Source organism: Homo sapiens, chromosome 11 (genome assembly GCF_000001405.40).
Source record: "Homo sapiens chromosome 11, GRCh38.p14 Primary Assembly".
NCBI classification, from domain to species: domain Eukaryota; kingdom Metazoa; phylum Chordata; class Mammalia; order Primates; family Hominidae; genus Homo; species Homo sapiens.
In genome coordinates this window covers 7,892,497-7,912,205 of record NC_000011.10, presented here as the reverse complement: position 1 = coordinate 7,912,205, position 19,709 = coordinate 7,892,497, and the positions used below count along the sequence as shown (strand labels likewise).

At 40.8% G+C, this 19,709-nt stretch overlaps 2 long non-coding RNA genes across 2 annotated transcripts in view, besides 4 other annotated features; one reads left to right on the top strand and one right to left on the bottom strand.

The window, feature by feature from the left end:
- LOC107984307 (uncharacterized) lies at window positions 47-5,884 on the bottom strand. Its single transcript, XR_001748116.2, has 3 exons — window positions 5,540-5,884; window positions 4,871-5,044; window positions 47-149 (listed from the first exon to the last, which is right to left on the bottom strand). It is a non-coding gene; the product is annotated as an uncharacterized LOC107984307 (long non-coding RNA).
- Window positions 3,987-4,530: an enhancer, noted in NCBI's record as "H3K27ac hESC enhancer chr11:7929223-7929766 (GRCh37/hg19 assembly coordinates)". NCBI's record gives its function as "activates a minimal SCP1, AML or CMV promoter by ChIP-STARR-seq in naive H9 embryonic stem cells {active_cell/tissue: H9 hESC(naive)}" and the evidence as "EXISTENCE:reporter gene assay evidence [ECO:0000049][PMID:30033119]".
- Window positions 5,508-6,707: an enhancer, noted in NCBI's record as "P300/CBP strongly-dependent group 1 enhancer chr11:7927046-7928245 (GRCh37/hg19 assembly coordinates)". NCBI's record gives its function as "activates an origin of replication core promoter dependent on BRD2, BRD4, P300/CBP, MED14 and CDK7 cofactors, with strong dependence on P300/CBP, by STARR-seq in HCT116 cells {active_cell/tissue: HCT116}" and the evidence as "EXISTENCE:reporter gene assay evidence [ECO:0000049][PMID:35650434]".
- Window positions 5,619-6,162: an enhancer, noted in NCBI's record as "NANOG-H3K27ac-H3K4me1 hESC enhancer chr11:7927591-7928134 (GRCh37/hg19 assembly coordinates)". NCBI's record gives its function as "activates a minimal SCP1, AML or CMV promoter by ChIP-STARR-seq in naive H9 embryonic stem cells {active_cell/tissue: H9 hESC(naive)}" and the evidence as "EXISTENCE:reporter gene assay evidence [ECO:0000049][PMID:30033119]".
- Window positions 6,163-6,706: an enhancer, noted in NCBI's record as "NANOG-H3K27ac hESC enhancer chr11:7927047-7927590 (GRCh37/hg19 assembly coordinates)". NCBI's record gives its function as "activates a minimal SCP1, AML or CMV promoter by ChIP-STARR-seq in naive H9 embryonic stem cells {active_cell/tissue: H9 hESC(naive)}" and the evidence as "EXISTENCE:reporter gene assay evidence [ECO:0000049][PMID:30033119]".
- Window positions 6,251-19,709, top strand: part of LOC283299 (uncharacterized) — a 55,205-nt gene continuing 41,746 nt past the window's right edge. Inside the window, exon 1 of the long non-coding RNA NR_036678.1 lies at window positions 6,251-6,603. This is a non-coding gene — a long non-coding RNA (uncharacterized LOC283299). The remainder of the gene's footprint in view (window positions 6,604-19,709) is intronic.

Genomic DNA, 19,709 nt, shown 5'->3' with positions numbered 1-19,709 from the left:
GCCATGTTGCTCACACAAACCCTGTTTGGTGGTCTCTTCACACGGACGCGCATGAAAGTTTCCCCTCTTGCCTTTCTTGATGGAGTGATAGCCCCTTGTGGTCTGGTGCTGCCCCAATTCTTGAATCTCTGAATGCTCCGATAAACTCTCTAAAATTGAAATGTACTTAAGTTTTTCTTTCATCATAAGGAAGTGCTATTCTGCAGCACGCACATGCAAAGCAAGAACAGTTGCTACCAGGTAGTTAAGACGGAAATGAGCATAAGACTATGTAAAGGCAGAGATTTGGGGCCACCTTCTAGAGCTGTGCCCACAAGAGGCCCCTAACTGATAACTGCCCACTCTGATTCTCTGAATGAGCTACATTATTGCGTGTATGCTGCACTCCTCTGGGCACCTGGAACCTCTTAGCCACCAAGGCAGCAGCACATTGTTTAAAGCATCTCCTAGCCTTCACTCAGTGGCTTCCGGCAGAGTGGTGATGCCAGACATCACTTACAGTGCTCACTGTCTGTGGGGAACAGAGGGTCCCATCAGACACACGTCTGTTTCAGCCAGTTTCTGAGAAGCCCACAGAGAGGACAGTGACAATGTTCTGGGACTCTGGTTGCTTCAGGTGTTGCCTGGGCTCTCAGAAGTCTAAGAAGATCATTATTTCCTGGTAAACTTTTAATGCATTTGAAATATACCAGTTCATCCTAGCACGTTAACTGAGGAGATGTGTGCTTCTCAAATTTTAGGGTGCAAAAGCATCACCTGGAGAGCTGATTAAAACAGATTCATGGACACCTCCCCAGAGATTTGGATTCAGTTGGTCTGGGGTGGGGCCCAAAAACTTGCATTTCTAACAAGCTCTTAGTCCTTGCTGATCCAGAATTACACTTGCAGTAGCCCTGTCCTACAGGATAGTTTAAATATTTGAGACTTATTAAAGGAGTTATTTAATAATAAATGTAAAGTACTTAGAGCTATGCCTGGCATATGATAATCACTTAACAGATGTTGAGTTTCAACATTTGCTATTTTGTGGTTTGTCTGGGTTGGAGAGCAGAACCTTTATGTAATTCCTTTAATTGGTAAGGCTTTAAGCAAGCATTTTCTTGTTTTCCCCAGCTATCATTCCCAGGTTTGTGAAAATAATCAGATATTTTAGTATAATACTGTTGTTATTTTTTCTATTATACCTCTTTTCATAGCCTTTCATTTATTATTACATTATATGTTGTTATACATGACAAATTATTTTAAAATTGAACTATAAGATTTTCTGATTTAAAAATGGCTTATCACTTTTGTATCCTACATGTTCCCTTTTCTTCAGCTGTTTTTTTCAGAAGAACTTTTATTTGGTTTCAGTTTCTCCAACAGTTATTTTTTTCAAATGTTGTATAATTGTTATACATTCTGCATCCTTGCATGTCTAAAACAGTTTTCCATTTGCCTTTGTTAAATAAAATTTACAGGAGGCTATTGATTTAGACTGAGCTCCTGCATTGTGCCCTAATAGATCAAACCAAAATGGAGTTGTCAGAGGCATTTAAACCAGAGTGACTCCATCTTGTATAGAGGTTGGGTAAAATAAGGATGGAACTTACTGAGCTGCATTCCCAGGAGGTTAAGGCATTCTTAGTCACAGCATGAGATAAGAGGTTGGCAGGAGATACAGGTCATAAAGACCTGGCAGATAAAATAGGTTACAGTAAAGAAGCTGGTCAAAACTCACCAAAACCAAGATGGCAAGGAGTGTGACTTCTGGGCATCCTCACAGCTCATTATATGCTAATTATAATTCATTAGCATGCTGAAAGACACTCCCACTAGTGCCATGAAAGTTTACAAACGTCATGGCAATGTCAGGAAATTACACTATTTGGTCTAAAAAGGGGATGAACCCGTAGTTCCAGGAATTGTCCACTCCTTTCCCAGAAAACTCATGAATAATCCATCCCTTGCTTAGCATATAATCAAGAAATAACCATAAAAATGGGCAACCAGTAGCCCTCTCTGAAGGTTTGCTGAAAATCAACTCACAAGGCAGATCAATAGGAGAAAAGGCATGCAAAAGTTATTTTAACGTGTATAGCCTGGGGGAACTGCAGGAGAATGATTACCCAATAACCCAATGGGACACAGAAACTTATATACCCTTTTCATAGGAGGGGAGGGAGATGGGGAATGTAGACAATTCTTTTGAGGGGTAGCAAATGATTATTAGGGGAAGCAAATGGACAGAACTTAACTTGTAAATGATTCTTTTTGGAATTTGAATGAACCTGAGAGATTGTTATTTTCTTATGAAAAAGTCCTTCCAGGTGAGGTTGCATTCCTGTCTCCTTTTTTTGTGATCTGTAATGAGATTTCAGGAAGGAGAAGAAAGGCAATTGCATTGTTTTTGGAAAGAAGCTTTCCGGGACAGATAAGAAAATCCCAGAGACAGCCCCTTCCTGCAATGCAGGTGTGTGTCTGGGGGTAAGACAAGGTTGGAGGGACCTTGATTCTGAGGCAGCTTCTAGGCCACTCAGCATATCAAAGTGCCAGTCTTTGGGGCAACACTTCCTGACCCCCAATACTTGATTCATGAATTGTTCTTTGCTAAAATAAATTCTATTAAATTTATTTTGCCTAAAGCTTTTATTTTAAAATAATTTTTCTATATGCCACAGGTTTGGTTGGCTATACAATTCCTGGGTTTCAATAGTTATGCTTTAAGAAACTCTAAACAGGCTGGGATCGGTGGCTCACTCCTGTAATCCCAGCACTTTGGGAGGCCGAGGTGGGTGGATCACCCGAGTTCAGGAGTTCTAGACCAGCCTGGCCAACATGGTGAAACACCGTCTCTACTAAAAATAAAAAAATTAGCTGGGTGTGGTGGCAGGCACCTGTAATCCCAGCTACTCAGGGGGCCAAGGCAGGAGAATCACTTGAACCCAGGACACAGAGGTTGCAGTGAGCTGAGATCGCACCATTGCACTACAGCCTAGGGGACAAGAGGGAGACTTTGTCAAAAAAAAAAAAGAAGAAGAAGAAAGAAACTCTAAACATTATTTCACTGTTTTCTAGTTCCAGTGTAGCAAAAATGAGATTTGCTTTTATTTCTGCTCTTTTTTATTTTGGGGTATAGCTTCCACCCCACTTCTGCTTTTTAATCTAAACTCCTATGAGTATTGGAGCTATCAGATCAATTCTCCATGTTTCCTATCTTTTTCATGATAATTTTTACTTCTCATTAATTTTACGTGAATTTCAATCAAATTCATTCTGTGAATTTCTAACTCATCATTTGGTATTCAGTGTTATCTATTTTGTTACTCCATTTCTCCACAGAGTTATTTTTAAAACCATTTTAAGATTTCCCCTATATTGTTTTAAAATTGATCTCTTTTTTTTTGAGAATATGCTCTTTTAAAAATCATTGAGTCTCTCTACAATGATAATGCATATTTTCAAGTTTTCTTCTCTTTCTTGCATTTAATCTGTTTCAGTCTAGGAATATTTGCTCCGGTCCCTTGCATTGATATGTCAACGGAAAGAAGAAAAAAAATCGAGGCAAACAATGTAAGTAGAGAGTTCATTTGGACTAAGCTTGAACACTGCAACGCAAGAGCGTAGATGCAAGTTAACCTGAATATACACCCCTATGAGCAGCAGTTACAAGTGGGTTTTAAAGGAAACAAAGAGGCAGTTCCCAAGTTGTTTACCAAGAATTTACATTAAAATAACATAAGCTATTGATTGGTTATACACTGTTCTTTGTATCACAAACTCCAGGAACATGAAGATAATGGGCAAAGCAGCTAGTCAGGAACAAAATGTCTTTAAACAGTTGGCCCTGGGTATGGGTGTGAGAGGTGTGATTGAGGTCCCATAACCATACTCATGTCTCTCTGGGCCTGACAAATTTTGTATGCTTCACATAACTTAGATGGCTCTGAGCAATTTTTTTTCTCATTTCCCACCTGTTGATCAAAAATCTTTCCATGGAAACATTAATGATCAATTTCTGCTTAGGTTAGAGTGATCAATATCCTTCCTCCTTCAGTTTGAGAAGGCTCATGATGGTGCTGTCTCACATGGGAAGGAGAGGTGAGGAAATGTTACAATGAGGAATTTTAAGACTGTCAAAAGCCAAATTGAGATGGCATCACAGGTGGCAAAAATGGCACCTCAGTCAAGTATGTAGTTGCTGTTGCTTGTTGAATCATTGTTAGTCTTCAGAATATCATGAGTTTAGTCTTTGTGGAAGAAGTAAAACAAGAGATATATGTAATGCATATAGGAATTATAATCAAAAAAAGAATTTGTATATCAGAACAACAACAACAAAACCTATTCTACTGGGGAGTCAACTAAAAATATCATGAAGGAAATTAAATCCAATTTCTTCTTTGGAGGATTGTTAGAGCTGGGACATTATTCAGAATTCAGTCCAAATTGTAGACAAATAGTAAAAACTAAAAAACAACTAAAAAACAATGGTCAGGGCTAGAATCTTATAAGAAGGATGGTATAGTTTCCTTCTAAAACAATTTTTTTCTCTCCCCAGTTCCCCATTCCTACCAAATATAAATGTTAGTAGGACAAATTTATTGGCTAAATAAGTTTTAGTATTATACTTGGCCTGATTATTTGCAAAATGTGCAACAAGAAGAATGATTGGCCATATAGGCTCTTTTCCATTGACTTTGCAGAATTTTTAATAAGAAATCTCAGATTACACTTTTAAAACCTCTAAAGACTAGTAAGCCAAGCCAGGGATTCACTGTGGGACTGCTTGTAACATATGTAAAAATTGAGTGAATTCCTATCTTCTCAATGACCCAAAATATCTTGTGGTTCCTGGGTGCATCAGAAAATGACAGTCTTTACTTACCGCAAGCTGAGGAACCTTGTAAGAGAACCGTGTGGGCAAGGCATGAGGCCAGTCTTTCCCATGTCTATTGGCTTTATAAAGTCAGCCTCAATTCCTCAAAGCAGTTTGGTCACATTCAAAAATGTAACATTCCAGCCAAAGCCTTGGTAAAATAACCGGTGTATCCAATGTGTTCTGTTACAAAAGAAAACAGATTCTTATTGATCTTATGCAAATAACTATATTGCCACAAAATACAAATACTCATGAATAGTTTCCAAATTTTAGAGAAATCAGGTAGGGAGAAATGCAGATGTTTTAATTTTGCTCACAAAAGGTTACCCAGTTGCTGTAAGCTATAATTAGCTAAAAAGAGACATTTTCTTGACTCTGGAAAACAAAACATAAAATAATCAGCAATGTTTCAAAGAGAAAAGTTAAAGAAAGCATTTCCACCCTCTGTCAGGCTAGCCCCATGTATTTAATTATTATTCAGCTGGATGTTAGGTTAGTAATATTCATGAATGCATTCATTTTTTAAATTAGAGTTCTGAAAGTTTTCACTCAGTCCAATGATATGATGGGTGGAATCTAGCCACTGGGAGTATTTCCTTTCTGTGTGTGCTGCCAGTAGATGGAAGTGCAACAAAAGCCTGGCTGCCTCCCCGCACCCCCAGCAGAGCTGCCTACCTGCACCCCCAGGAGAGCTGCCTCCCTGCACTCCCGGCAGAGCTGCCCGGGCTTCTGAGTGTAAAAATAAAATAGAGGTTCCTCTTCAAAGAGACTTTCCTCCCCGTCTAATTAGGAATAAATAGTAACTTCTCTCAGAAACAAAATTTATTCAAAGACCTGTGCTAACATTCTTAGATATCTGCTAGCTATAATAAAGAAATCAATGTACTTTGTGTTCTTAGCTCCCACAATTTAGCCTAAATATTTGCCCTGGCATGCTTACACTGGTCCAAGCAAGTATTAAGTCATAGTCTGTTCCTCTTCCTTATTTGGAGGTGTTTTTACCTTTCTCAGCATTCCACAAGTTACTTCCTCCTTTGTTCTCCTCTGCCTTTGCCTCTTTTAAAAAGTTCTAAGTTGCTGGCTAATCAGGACAAATACAGAATGTGAGGTGCAGGGAGCTGAAGGCCCCTGGGAAGTGACCAACTCAGCATTTCGCTGGAGGCTATAGGATCAAACAGCAAACTGTTTATCATGAATGCAGGATGTGGGCAAACTCACACTGCCCTGCCACCAAAAGGTTTGTTGAGGGCCTCACTCCCTGGCGCTGGGCTCCTTGAAGTTATCTATTGAGAAGTCTAGCACCTAAGAATGCAGTCTTGCAAGCCTGCTGCGAATCAAGCTGCTGGCCAACAACCACTCCCCACCTTCTCACTATCTCTATTGCCTAATAAATATGGAGGGCAGTGTAAAGCTCAGGGCCCTTGTCCACTAGAGACAAGGTGCCCTCCGACCCCTTCTTCCAAATATACTCTTTTGCCTCTTGTCTTTTATTCCCGTGTTTGCCCCCTTTGTTCAGTCCCCCTAGGTCCATGCAGGTTACATAGTGGTGCCCCAAACAGTGACACAATTGGGTTCTCAACAAGTGGTGACTCAGAACAGGGACGCCAAGGATGCCAACAAGTGGCGTCTGAACACGGGACTTCGACGATGTGAACAAAAAAGATCTGCTGGAGCAGAGAAGCTGAAATTGACAAGGCAAACGGGGACCCCAGGATGAGTCTGCCGGCAGCATATATAAGGTCAGTGCTCTAAAGAGGTACTGGGAGCAGTGCTTTATAGAAGTGCTGGGAATGGGAAGCTTTCTGAATCAGGGTAGCAGGGGGAATAACTTGTCTGTTGAAGAAAAACATTATGTGCAGTTGCTTAAAGTTCTGTTGAGACAGTCTGGAGCTCAGGTTAATTCTCAGACACTAACCTCCTGCAGAAGCCACACAAAGTTATTATGCATAACTCATGGTTTCCACAGGCAGGCACTCTTGATGTGGAAAACTGGGATAGAGCAGGAGAAGGATTAAAACAGGCTCATCAAAAAGGTCTTGAAGTTGATTCTTCTGTTTTCTCCACTTGGAGTTTAGTTTGTACTGTACTTCTGCTATTATCTCATTATTCTGCGGGACAGCAGGCTGAATCTAAAAATCTAAAAGAATCTGTTGTCCCACCCACAGCTCCAACTGAAAATAAAAAACAGGAGAGGGAGGATAAAAGTTGGCCTATACTGCCTCCTCCAGTTGCAGAAACATTTGTACCGCCTCCTTTGGTGGCAGAAATAGAGACTCCAATACAAAGAATTTTATGCTCTGCTGCAATAGCTGGAGAGCCCTTAGGACCTCACGCTTTTCCTATTTCCATAAGGCCTAATCCTAACAATGCACAGCAGGTTATTCATGAACACACTCCACTAGATTTTAACTTGTTAAAGGAATTAAAAGCGAGTGTGGTAAACAATGGCGTACAGAACCCATTCACCTTAGGATTGCTAGAATCTGTGTTTGGTGCTATGCGTCTTTTACCATTTGATGTGAAACACTTGGCGTGAATTTGCTTGTCGGCTACTGCATATCTGACATGGAATTTAAATTGGCAAGAAATGTGTGCAGACCAGGCTAGACAGAACTGTGCTGCTGGAAATGGAGACATTACAGAGGATATGCTATTAGGTAATGGCCCTTATTCAGACCTGGAACCTCAAATGGGACTCCCAGATGTTGCTTATCAGCAGTGTGCACAGGCCACTAAATGCACCTGGGCCACTATTCCTGAAGGAGTCCCAGTACAATCCTTTTTATGTATCATACAAGGGTTGCAGGAACCCTATGTGCAATTTCTTGCATGATTACAAGAGGCAGTGAAGTGTCAGATTTCTCATACTGCGGCTGCAGAAATGCTAACCTTAACACTAGCTTTTGAGGATGCAAACACGGATTGTAAATGTGCACTGGCACTGGTGAGGTGTACAAAAAACTTGGGAAATTTTCTCAGAGCTTGTCAAGATGTAGGAACTGAGCTTCATCACTCTGCAATGTTAGCACAAGCAATAGCTAATTTATCAGTTGACAAATCTAAAAGGAGCCAAGGGTCAAACCCCAAAACGGGAAAATATTATAAATGTGGAAAAACTGGACATTTTAAAAAGGAATGCTGCCAGATCTCAGGACAGAAAGGACCTTACAATGCAGTGCCCCACCCAGCAGAATAAACACCAGGATTCTGTCCTCACTGTATGAAAGGAAATCACTGGGCTAATCAGTGCCACTCAAAATTTCATCAGAATGGCACCCCCCTGCTGGGAAACGAGATGGGGGCCTGGACCCAGGCCCCACAAACAATAAGGGCATTCCCAGTCCAGACCTCAACCCCATTTCAGAGGTCAGTTCCCAGAGGCACATTGATCCCCTCACCCCAGGAACACCAGGAAGTGCAGGATTAGATCTACCCGCCAGAGAAAGAATCACTTTAGTTGGTGGAGACAAACCTATGAAAGTTCCCACTGGCATTTGGGGACCTTTACCAGCAGGATATATGAGACTAATTTTAGCCAAAAGCTGCCTTAACTTGCAAGGCATTACTGTAGTGACTGGCTCTGATTATGAAGGAGAAATTCAAGTAGTTTTAATGTCACAAGATCTTTGGGTTTTTGAACCAGGAGAATATATTGCTCAATTATTGCTTATTCCCTGCAAATTACACCCTTCTCCATGAAAGGAGAAATGAGGAAATAAAGGGTTTGGGAGCACAACTACTTGGGAAATCTATCTATCCCAACCCATAGCCTCTAATAGAGCCACCTGTGTAGTACAAATTAAAGGACAGACATTTTATGGGCTTATGGATATGGGAGCTGATGTTTCAGTAATATGTAAAGACAATTGGCCCCCCATCCTGGCCCTTGCAATTAACTTCTATGTCCCTAATGGGAGTAGGAACAGCTCAAAGTGTTCAACAGTATGCTGAAATTTTATCTTGTCTTGGTGTGGATGGACAGTCATGTACTTTTCAGCCTCATGTTGCAAGTATAGCCATCAAATTATGGGGTTGAGACTTACAGCATGGGATATGAGACTTACAAATGAAACTTTTGATAACCCAGAACTTAAAATGTTAAAGAACATGGGATATCAGCAGGGAAAACCTTTAGGAAAATTTCTTCAGGGAAATCCTAACCCAATAGCAGTAACTGGAAAAACAGATAGCTAAGGGCTAGGACGTCAGGATTTCTGATGGAGGTCATTGATATTTCTCCTCTGCCCACTGCCTTACCATTAGAATGGCTCAGTGACAAACCCATGTGGGTGGATCAATGGCCCCTATCTCAGGAGAAGCCGACACAACTTCAACAGCCAGTAAAAGATCAGTGGGATGCTGGACACATAGAGGAGTCAGTTAGCTCCTGGAATTCTCCAGTGTTTGTTATTCTAAAAAAGTCCAGAAGATGGTGACTGCTACAAGATTTAAGAGCTATTAATACACATATAAAATGGATGGATGCCTTACAAAAAGGTATACCATCTTCAGTGGCTATTCCAAGAGTCTGGCCTCTTGTATTAATAGATCTTAAGGATTGTTTCTTTACTATATTCTTACATGAGAAGGATAAGCCTTGATTCGCCTTCTCTGTGCCTTCTATTAACCAAAGAGAACCTGTTTCTTGTTATCAATGGAGAGTTTTACCCCCAAGTCATGCTATGTCAACATTTTGTAGGACAGGCATTAAAGGAGTCTCGGAATATGTTTCCTACTGCTTACATCATTCATTTTATGGATGATATTCTTTTGGCCCCTCCTATAGATCAAATCCTACAGCAGTTATTCAGAGAAACGAAGCAAGCTTTGACTAAATGGAATCTCAAAATAGCTCTGAAAAAGGTACAAACAACTTCCCCATACCAATACTTAGGAATTATTGTTATGGAGAGAAGTGTACGGCCTCAGAAAGTAGTTCTCTGTAAAGACAGGTTACAGACTTTAAATGATTTTCTACAATTATTAGGAGATATTAATTGGCTACAGCCAATGTTAGGTATTGCTACCTATCAACTTACACATCTTTACCAAACCCTGCAAGGAGATTCTACTTTAAATTCCCCATGGCAACTAACTAAAGAGGCAGAAGCCGAATTACGGCTTGTAGAGAAAATGTTACAGCAGAGACATGCCTCACAGCTACAACTGCAAAAACCTTTGCTTTTGTTTATTCCTCCTACCCCCCACTCTCCAACAGGACTATTGGGCCAGTTCATAGACAAGTCTGCAACAGTAATAGAATGGCTCTTTCTACCTAATCAAACAGTCAAAACCTTGCAAGTTTATCTTTCTTTAATTACACAAATTGTGACTATGGGCAGGCATAGGTCAAAAATGCTTATGGGATATGACCCTGACAAAATTATTGTTCCTTTAGACTCCCAGCAACAAGCCACAGCTTGGGAAATGTCAACTGCCTGGCAAATTGCTTTTGCAGATTTCATGGGTGCTATAGATAATCACTACCCCTCAGACAAAATTTTACAGTTTTATAAAATCCATTCTTTCATTCTTTCTGTGATTACTCATCACAAGCCTATTGCAGGTGGACAGACTTACTTTACTGATGGCTCTTCCAGAGGTCATGCTGCTATCTATGGACGTAAACATACTCAAATAATAATGACATCTGGGGCTTCAGCTCAAGGCTCAGAGCTAATTGCAGTCATTCAGGTTTTACAGCTCGCAGCTTCAGATCCTATCAACATTGTCTGTGATTCAGCTTATGTTGTAAATGTAACCAGTCACATAGAAACTGCTACAATTAAAAGTACACTAGACCCAGAACTGTTTAATTTATTTTTAAGACATCATGTTCACACATATAAGTGGGAGCCAAACATTGAGTACACATGGACACAAAGGAACAGCAGACACTGGGGCGTGCTTGAGGATAGAGGGAGGGAAGAGGATGAGGATCCAAAAATTACCTATCAGTTTCTATGCTTATTATGTGGGTGGCAAAATAATCTGTACACCAAACTTCTGTGACATGCAATTTATTTATATAACAAACCTACATATGTTCACCGAACCTAAAAGTTAAAAAAATAAAAATTTCTACCAACATCTAATGTGAAAAACAAAACAAAACAAAACAAAAAAAGACTTCAGCGAGTTACTCGTTCTCATGCAGATCCTTTTCATATTTCTGATATTTGTTCTCATACACAACTTCCAGGACCATTATCCCTAGGGAATGATAAAGTAGATATAAATTGATTTGTTCTGTGTTTCAGCAAGCTCAAGCATCTCATGCGCTTCTGCATCAAAATACTTCCACCCTTACTTGCGTGTTCCATTTATCTTGCAGCCAAGCTAGGGCTATAATACAAGCCTGTCCTACTTGTCAGCATGTCCCTGGAGCCACACCTGTAGAAGGCTGTAACTCATGAGGTTTGGCTCCAAATGAAGTTTGGCAAATGGATGTTACACAATAGTTACCTTTGGTAAGCTTAGCTATGTTCATGTGACTATAGATGCTGCATGCTACATGCCAAGCAGGTGAGACAGCTGGTCATGTATGGCGACATTGTCATCATTTGCTCATATGGGGATACTTAAACAATTAAAAACTGATAATGGAACCGCTTATACTAGTCATGCTTTTCAAAATTTCTTACAGCTTTGGGCTATAACCCATAAAACAGGAATTCCTTATGATGCTAGAGGACAAGTCATTATAGAATGGGCCCATCAAACATTACAATGCATGTTGAAAAAACAAAAAGGGGGTATAGGAGGCCAACTACCACCTCAATCGAAACTACCTTTAGCCTTAGTTACTTTAAGTTTTTTTTTTTTTTTAGATGGGGTCTTGCTCTGTCATCCAGGCTGGAGTGCAGTGGCACGATCTCTGCTCACTGCAAGCTCTGCCCCCTGGGTCCATGCCATTCTCCTGTCTCAGCCACCTGAGTAGCTGGGACTACAGGTGCCCGCCACCACGCCTGACTAATATTTTTGTATTTTTAGTAGAGATGGGGTTTCACCGTGTTTGCCAGGATGGTCTTGATCTCCTGACCTTGTGATCTGCCCGCCTTGGCCTCCCAAAGTGCTGGGATTACAGGCGTGAGCCACCGCGCCCGGCCTCTACTTTAAATTTTTTGACTCCTAGTATGGATGGTAAGACTCCAGTAGAAAGACATTGGCAAATGTTAAAGGAAAAGAGGAAAGTTTATCCAAAAGTGTTATGGAAATCCCCGGAAGAAGGACAATGTAAAGGTTCGGTGGATTTACTGACGTGGGGAAGAGGATATACTTGTGTTTTTACAGATGGACAAACCCTGTGGGTGCCCTCAAGACATGTGTGACCATGGAATGGGAGACTGGAGGAACCCAGGGTGGCCAACCATGAGCCCGGTCCTTCTGGTACGAACCATGAGACAGCTGAGCCTGAGTGTAAAGACAGACAGAATGCCGGCCAGAGTCACAACACTGTTCTAATGCTATGTTTTCTGTAAAATTGGATGGACCACCAATCAGAGAATGAGAGCTACCCAGTCTGGCCTTACATTCTTTCAATTAATACATAAACAAAAAGTGGGATATGCAGGGAGCCGAAAGCCTGTGGGACATGACCAACTTAGTATTCTGCTGGAGGCTATATGATCAAACGGCAAACTGTTTATCATGAATGCAGGATGTGGCCAAACTCACACTGCCCTGCTACCAAAACGTTTGCTGAGGGCCTCACTCCATGGTGCCAGGCTCCTTGAAGTTATCTATTGAGAGATCTAGCTCCTATTGTTCTAAGAATGCAGTCTTGCCAGCCTGCTGTGAATAAAATGCCAGCCAACAACCACTCCCCTCCTTCTTGCTATCTCTATTGCCTAATAAATACGGAGGGCTGTGTAAAGCTCAGGGCCCTTGTCCACTAGAGGCAAGGTGCCCTCTGACCCCTTCTTCCAAATATACTCTTTCATCTCTTGTGTTTTATTCCCACATTTGCCCCCTTTGTTCAGTCCCCCTAGGTCCATGTGGGTTACAGTGAGGTCCCATTCCAGCCAATGGAAACCAGACACAGCAGTAGGGTGGATGCGTCAGGTTATAAATAACCCTGTCTCCTTTGTTCGGTGTACTCTTGTGGCAAAACTGCTGGTGAATGTACCCTTTCTGTAGAGAATAAAAATGGCCTTGCTGAGAAAATTAAATGTATGTTCAAGTGCTATTTCTTTGTGGCACCAGGGAACAAGCATTTCAAACATGAGTGACAGTCAAGTCTCACTTTTAGTCATGTTCTGCATTATGGGCTGAACTGTGTCCCCTGACATTCATATGTTGAAGTCCTGACTTTCAGAATGTGACTATATTTAGAGCTAGCACCTTTAAAGTGGTAATTAAGATAAAATAAGGTCACTAGGGCTGGCCTTAATCCAAAAAATCTGGTATCCTCATAAGAAGAGGAGATTAGAATGCAGACATTACACAGACTGAAGGACGGCCACGTAAGGACACAGTGAGAAGATGGCCATCTGCTAGCCGAGAAAAGTAGCTCATAGCAGTTTGAAGAATGGGATGTATGCAAAGTTTATCAGGCCCAGACAGACATGAGTGAGTCTTCAGTCATGCCCCTCACACCCATGTCAGGAATTAATCATTTAAAGGCAAGGTTATCATCAATAGCAATAAATGTCTTTGCCACACTGCTATTAATTGCAGATGAGGAAATGGGGTCACTCAAGTAAATTCTTCAGGGCCACATTTTTTTTTTTTTTTTTTTTTTTGAGATGGAGTCTCGCTCTGTTGCCCAGGCTGGAGTGCAGTGGTGCAATCTTGGCTCACTGCAAGCTCTGCCTCCTGGGTTCATGCCATTCTCCTGCCTCAGCCTCCCCAGTACCTGGGACTACAGGTGCCCACCACCATGCCCAGCTAATTTTTTTGTATTTTCAGTAGAGACAGGGTTTCACCGTGTTAGCCAGGATGGTCTCGATCTCCTGACCTCATGATCCACCTGCCTCGGCCTCCCAAAGTGCTGGGATTACAGGCGTGAGCCACCACACCTGGCCCAGGACCACATAATTTATTAATGGTATGTGAAACTTATTGTCTGTCATAATTATTTCCAAAGAATATAATAAAAAACCTATACTTTGTTTGAATGTCTCATGTGGTAAAAAGCCAGCAAAGATGTCTCAAATGCTTATCCTAATGAAATGTAACCAGAATGGAGGATTAACAAGGTGGCTCCCAAGAACTTGTTAAGAAGGGAAAGACTGTCATTTGGGAGTTTAACTAATTAAATCCATACTTTGTGGATTAATAACTTGACCATAGATTATACATTGGTGTGATTTTCATTGCCACTGACCTAACATCTCTATCAAAGCCCCCCACCCTTCCCTGTGCCTACGATTACACTCTGTAGGTCACGTCTTTATTTTTATTTTGAAAATATAGCATACATACAAAAAAGTATATGAAAACATGTATGTATAACTTAAGGAGCAATAATTAATATTCATGTACCTACTAATGGACCAAGTGTTTGAACTTTACATACCCCAGAATCTCTGGATATATTCTTGCTGGATTGCATGCCAATCATTCATTTCCAGAAGAAATTACTATCCAGAACTTATGTTAATAACTCCCTTAGTTTTCTTTATTGTTTTTACCACCTAGTAACATGTCCCTAAATAATAGAGTGCTTAGTTTTGCCTGTTTTTAATCTTTATATAAAGGCATTTATTCTGCATATGCTCTTCCTTGGCTTGTTTTTTAGTTTAGCATTGTTTTTGAAATTCATCCATATGGATGTAGGTAGCTGTAGTTTAATTTTCATTGCTTTGTAGTATTCCATTTTATGAATGTACCATAACTTATTAATAAATTCTACCTTGAGGGAAAAAAAATTAAGGCAGGGTTATATGCTCATCAATGAAATAACCCCAGAGGAGTGATTGATAATGCCACCACAAGTTGAACAATGTGACCCCGACCCATTATCTTCATGTTTCTGGAATTTGTGATGCAAAGAACAATGTATAGTCAATTAGTAGCTTATAGTATTTTAACACAAATTTTTAGTAAACAACTTAGGAACTGCCCCTTCTTCTTTCCTTTAAAAACCCATGTATAGTCAAGCATGGTGGCTCATGCCTGTAATCCCAGCACTTTGGGAGGCCAAAGTGGGAGGATCCCTTCAGGCCAAGAGTTTGAGATGAGACTGGGTAACATAGGGAGACCTCGTTTCCACAAAAACAAACAAGAAGCAAACCAACAAAAAACTCCACATTTGAATGCTGTTAGCCAGAACACATATACAAGGCAACTTGAATCTGTGTTTTCTGGGTTACAGTCCTCAAACTTGGCCCCAAATAAACTCTCTGCTTATATTTACTTTGCCTCAGTTTCTTCCTTTAGGTCAACAAAGCCAATGAAAAAGGCCTCAGGAGAAACAAAATCTATTGATACTTTAATCTTGGGCTTCTAGCATCCAGAACTATGAGAAATAAATTTCTGTTTAAGCCACCAGTCTGTGATATTTTGCTATGACAGCCATAGCAAACTAATTTAGCCTGTGACATGTGAAGGCTGGGGTTAAATTCTGCAGCCAACTTCTTCACATAAGGAGCCTTTTGGGTTTCTGAAGTCCCTTGATTTGCTCACTGCTAACAGCTAACAGGCGTGTCCTTTCCCTTGCATAGTTACAACTGGCCATGCTCCCAGTATCTATTTTCTTTTTCTTTTTTTTTTGAGACAGAGTCTGACCCTGTTGCCCAGGCTGGAGTGCAGTGGCACCATCCCAGCTCACTGCAGCCTTGACCTCCCAGGCTCAAGCAATCCTCCTCCTGCATAGCTGGAACTACAGGCATGCATCACCACACCCAGTTGATTTTTTAATTTTTTGTAGAGACAGAGTCTCTCTATGTTGCCCAAGTTGGTCTTGAACTCCTGGGCTCAAGCAGTCCTCCCACCTTGGCTTCCTAAAGTGCTAGTATTATAGGTATGAGCCACCATGCCCAGCCCTAATGCCTATTACTATACTTTTATATCTTCTTGGGAAAAGGGGCATCTGAAAGAGGTCAGAATTAATTAAGTGAAGGCATTACTTGACATTTCTTCACTGGGCTGTTTCCACCTATTTCCCAACTCAAATTACATATAGACACATTATTCAAACTAACTCACCAAAAGCTTGTGCAATAAGGACAACAGCACAATGTAGCCCAAATAATACAGTGCAGAAATAGAGAAATTCCTTCAATTTAAATAACAGGAATGCTTTGATTGAGATGGCCTTCAACATTCCCCTCAGCTTAAGTAAAATTAAGACAGGTGTTTTTTTTTTTTTTTTTCCTGACTCTAGGTCCCTGACCTCCCTTTTCTTAAATCACTGGAGAAAACTTGTAATTGCAAATTTTTTCTCTGCCTCCTTTGAAATGTATGTAAATCTGCTTAGAAGCCTCTTACTAGTTTTAAATGTAAACATCAAAAGAAATAGCTCCTTATCTTCCAGTCTCCATGGGAGGGTAGGAGCCTAACTTCAGTAGACATTTTGCTCCAAGTTATACAAGTACCTCCTGTTATAAGCAGAGAAAGTTTGCTTTGGGTTCAGCCAATTAGTGAACACCACTGTCTTATGATTCCCTCTACTCCAGCTGTTAAACTCTCGCCAGGCTTTTGTTTCAGCTGAGTTGAGTTTAATCTCTGTCCCTTGTTGCAATAGTCTTGAATAAAGTATCTCTTCCTGTTCAACTTTGCCCAGTGCAACTTTTATTTTGACAGCTCTTTCAATATCAATTCATATAGAATGAAAACTCTAGGGACCCAAACTACCAAACCCATATAACTTACCATCTACATTAAGATGACTTTATCATTTCACTGTTTTCATTAACATAACTTTGCTATTTCAGGAGACTCCTGACCAGGCTCAAGGCAAATAACTTGGTTGTTCATTACAGTAATGAACTGTTGAGAAGACCTAGCAAGTCTTTAGTGGGGATCATCAACAGAAAATTTACACACAAACTCTCCCAACCCCTCCTTTTAAAAATGACACATACCATGGTGAGTGTTTGAGTATTCTGGAATCTGCCAGTCACTCAAGGTCTGATCCAAGAAACTGGAGCAATGTGACTTCCACAGTATTCTGTTGATCAGGCAGGATGGAGTTCTTTTTTGTTAAAGGTTTTTCTAAGGTTTTAACAAAGGGTCTTACAAACCACTCCCTGAATTTGATCTTTGCCCCCAAACCATTTCTTTCTTTCAAAATCATTCACTGGAAGAGACTGGGAATGACGGACATATTTATTTTGAATATAGCAAGTTCCGGATCCTTTACATTTTCTCCATATTCTGTTAAAAAACTGAATAGTTTGTTCTTTAGCTTATTTTTCTCTACTAGTATTTTATTATATGCAGCTAAAAGAAATCAGCTCTTATGATATTCTGCCTGGGAATATCCTTAGTCAGATCTGCCATTTTATTGATATATTTTTTTATTTTCTACATTGCTGCAGTGATGATTTTGTTAACTGTTTGGCCAAGGCATCTTTTGGGTGTTCTTTAATCCAGCATCTGATAACATTTTCCTCACTGTCTGCAAGTTCTATATCAACCGTCTCCTTGAAGCTCTTCAAACTTTCATCAGCAATATCCTCAAGATGCTTGCTGATTCTGTCCTTTCTCCCATCCCAAAGCCAATGTCTACTTTTAGTTTTTTCTTATGGTTGCATTGTTGACGTGACATTTGAATTAAGTAGTGAAGGATGAGTGTTATTTGTATAGAGACTATATTTGGTGCATGTCTCTCTTTCTTTCTCTGTGTGCGTGTGTGTGTGTGTGTGTGTATGTGTGTGTGTGTGTTGGGCTGTTACTTTCTAGCAGTTTCTGCCAAGACACTGTGAGAGTGAGAATGGCCAGTTTGAGGAAAAAAAGCCATTTAATCTTTAACCAACAATGTTTGTTGAATGATTTTTATGTACTAGGCACTGTGCCAGGTGCTGGGAACACAAAGATAAGCAAGATAGTCTAATGAGAGAGAGGATTATTAGATAAATACATAACGAAACATAATTATAATTGTGATAACTGTTATAAAGAAAAAACACAAAATACCTTGAGATTATAATAGGAAGAACTTATCTAACCTGGAGGGGTGGCAGGGAGAGGAGTGGTGCTGAGGACAGAGAAGGCCTCCCTGAGAAAGTAACACTTAAATGGAGTCTTAAAGGATGATGGGAGTTAGCCAGGCCCAGCTGTGGAGGAGGGAGCAGTTCATCTGGAAGGAATAAAGTGTTTGAAGGTATGAATATGAAGGAGCTTGATGCCACTTCAGGAACGGGAGAGGGCTGGAGAGGGAGAGGGAGGAGTAGGGTGGAGCGATAAGCTGAAGGCAGACTGTGCAAAGCCTTGTAGGTACAATAAGAACTTTGAACTTCACCTACTAGCAATAGGTGGCCAGGGAAAGGTTTAACACTGAGTAGTCACATGGCCAAATTTGTATTTTAAAACATCATTCTGGCTGCTGAGAAGATAATAGACAAGGCAGTGGCAATTGCTGTGGCCCAGCTGAGAGTAGGACTTTCACCTTAGCTTAGCTTGGACTAAGCCTTCCCTTCCAGTGTTCCTTACCTCGACAAATGGAACCCCCATCCACTCTCTGCTCCAACAAGAAAGGTGGGCTTATCCCTGACACCTCTGCAGTGGAAAGGCAGCAATGTGAAAGTTTATACCCATATTTAAGAAATCAAATTGACAGGACTTGGTAAGGATTATATGTGGGGAGAGGGTAGGAGAAAGGTGTCAGGGATAAGCCTACCTTTCTGGTTGGAGGAGAGAGTGGATGGGGGTTCCATTTGTTGAGATATGGATTGCTGGAAGAGAGGGCTTTTGGGGGTGAAATCCAGTTTTGAATGACTAAGGTGTCAGATGCCTGCATGAAATCAGTCAAATAGATAGCTGGGGTATATAGGTCAGGCTCAAAACGGAGGTCTGAATTGTGGGGACAGAGTTAGAAAGCAATACCTAGAGAGGGCTGCCTGATCCAGGGAGGATCTTCTTAAGCTGGAGAGATTGCAGAATGTTTGAAGTCCCATGAAAAAAATCCAATAGAGGAGAGAGATTGAATCAGTGTGGCACAGGCCCTGTGCTGATGTGGTTTGTATCTGAGGAAGAGACAGACACAAATGGATGTAGTATGTGCAAACCAGAGGGAAGAGTAGAGACCCATGATGTTACAGGGCTTCCAGAGACCAAGCAGTTCAAATTAAGAGACCAGGGGACAGGGTAGCAAGGACAAAGGAAGTGGATCTAAGAAGAAGCTTGAGGGTGAAGCCTCCAAGCCCTAGATGAATAAAAACTCCAGGAAATAGTTGGCGCTTTATGCCAAAAGATAGACTAAATTCTTACTGCCATCTAATGGCTACAGTGTGTAATTGCTATACTCTCACGGCTGAAAGTCCAGGGAATTAAACTTGCTTATGGTTTACCAACATTTATCTCTATAGGCATGGTGGCTCATGCCTATGATCCCAGCACTTTTGGAGGTTGAGGCAGGAGGATCTCTTGAGCCCAGGAGTTCCAGACCAGCTTGGGCAACATAGGGAGACCCCGTCCCTTAAAAAAATAGCCAGTATTTATTGAATACTCTATACCTTACTAAGTCCCTTACGTGTATGAACTCATTTAATCTTCACAACAATACCATTTGACAAAGGAGCTGAAAGATACTAAATAATTTGTCCAAATATTCAAAATTATTTTGTGACAGGGTAGGACTAGAACACAGATTTCTTGGACTTCAGAGTTTGTGCTTTTGACTAGTAGGTGTATTCTACTGTCTCTCATGTGATAAAAGAACAGGAACTGAAAGTACCCC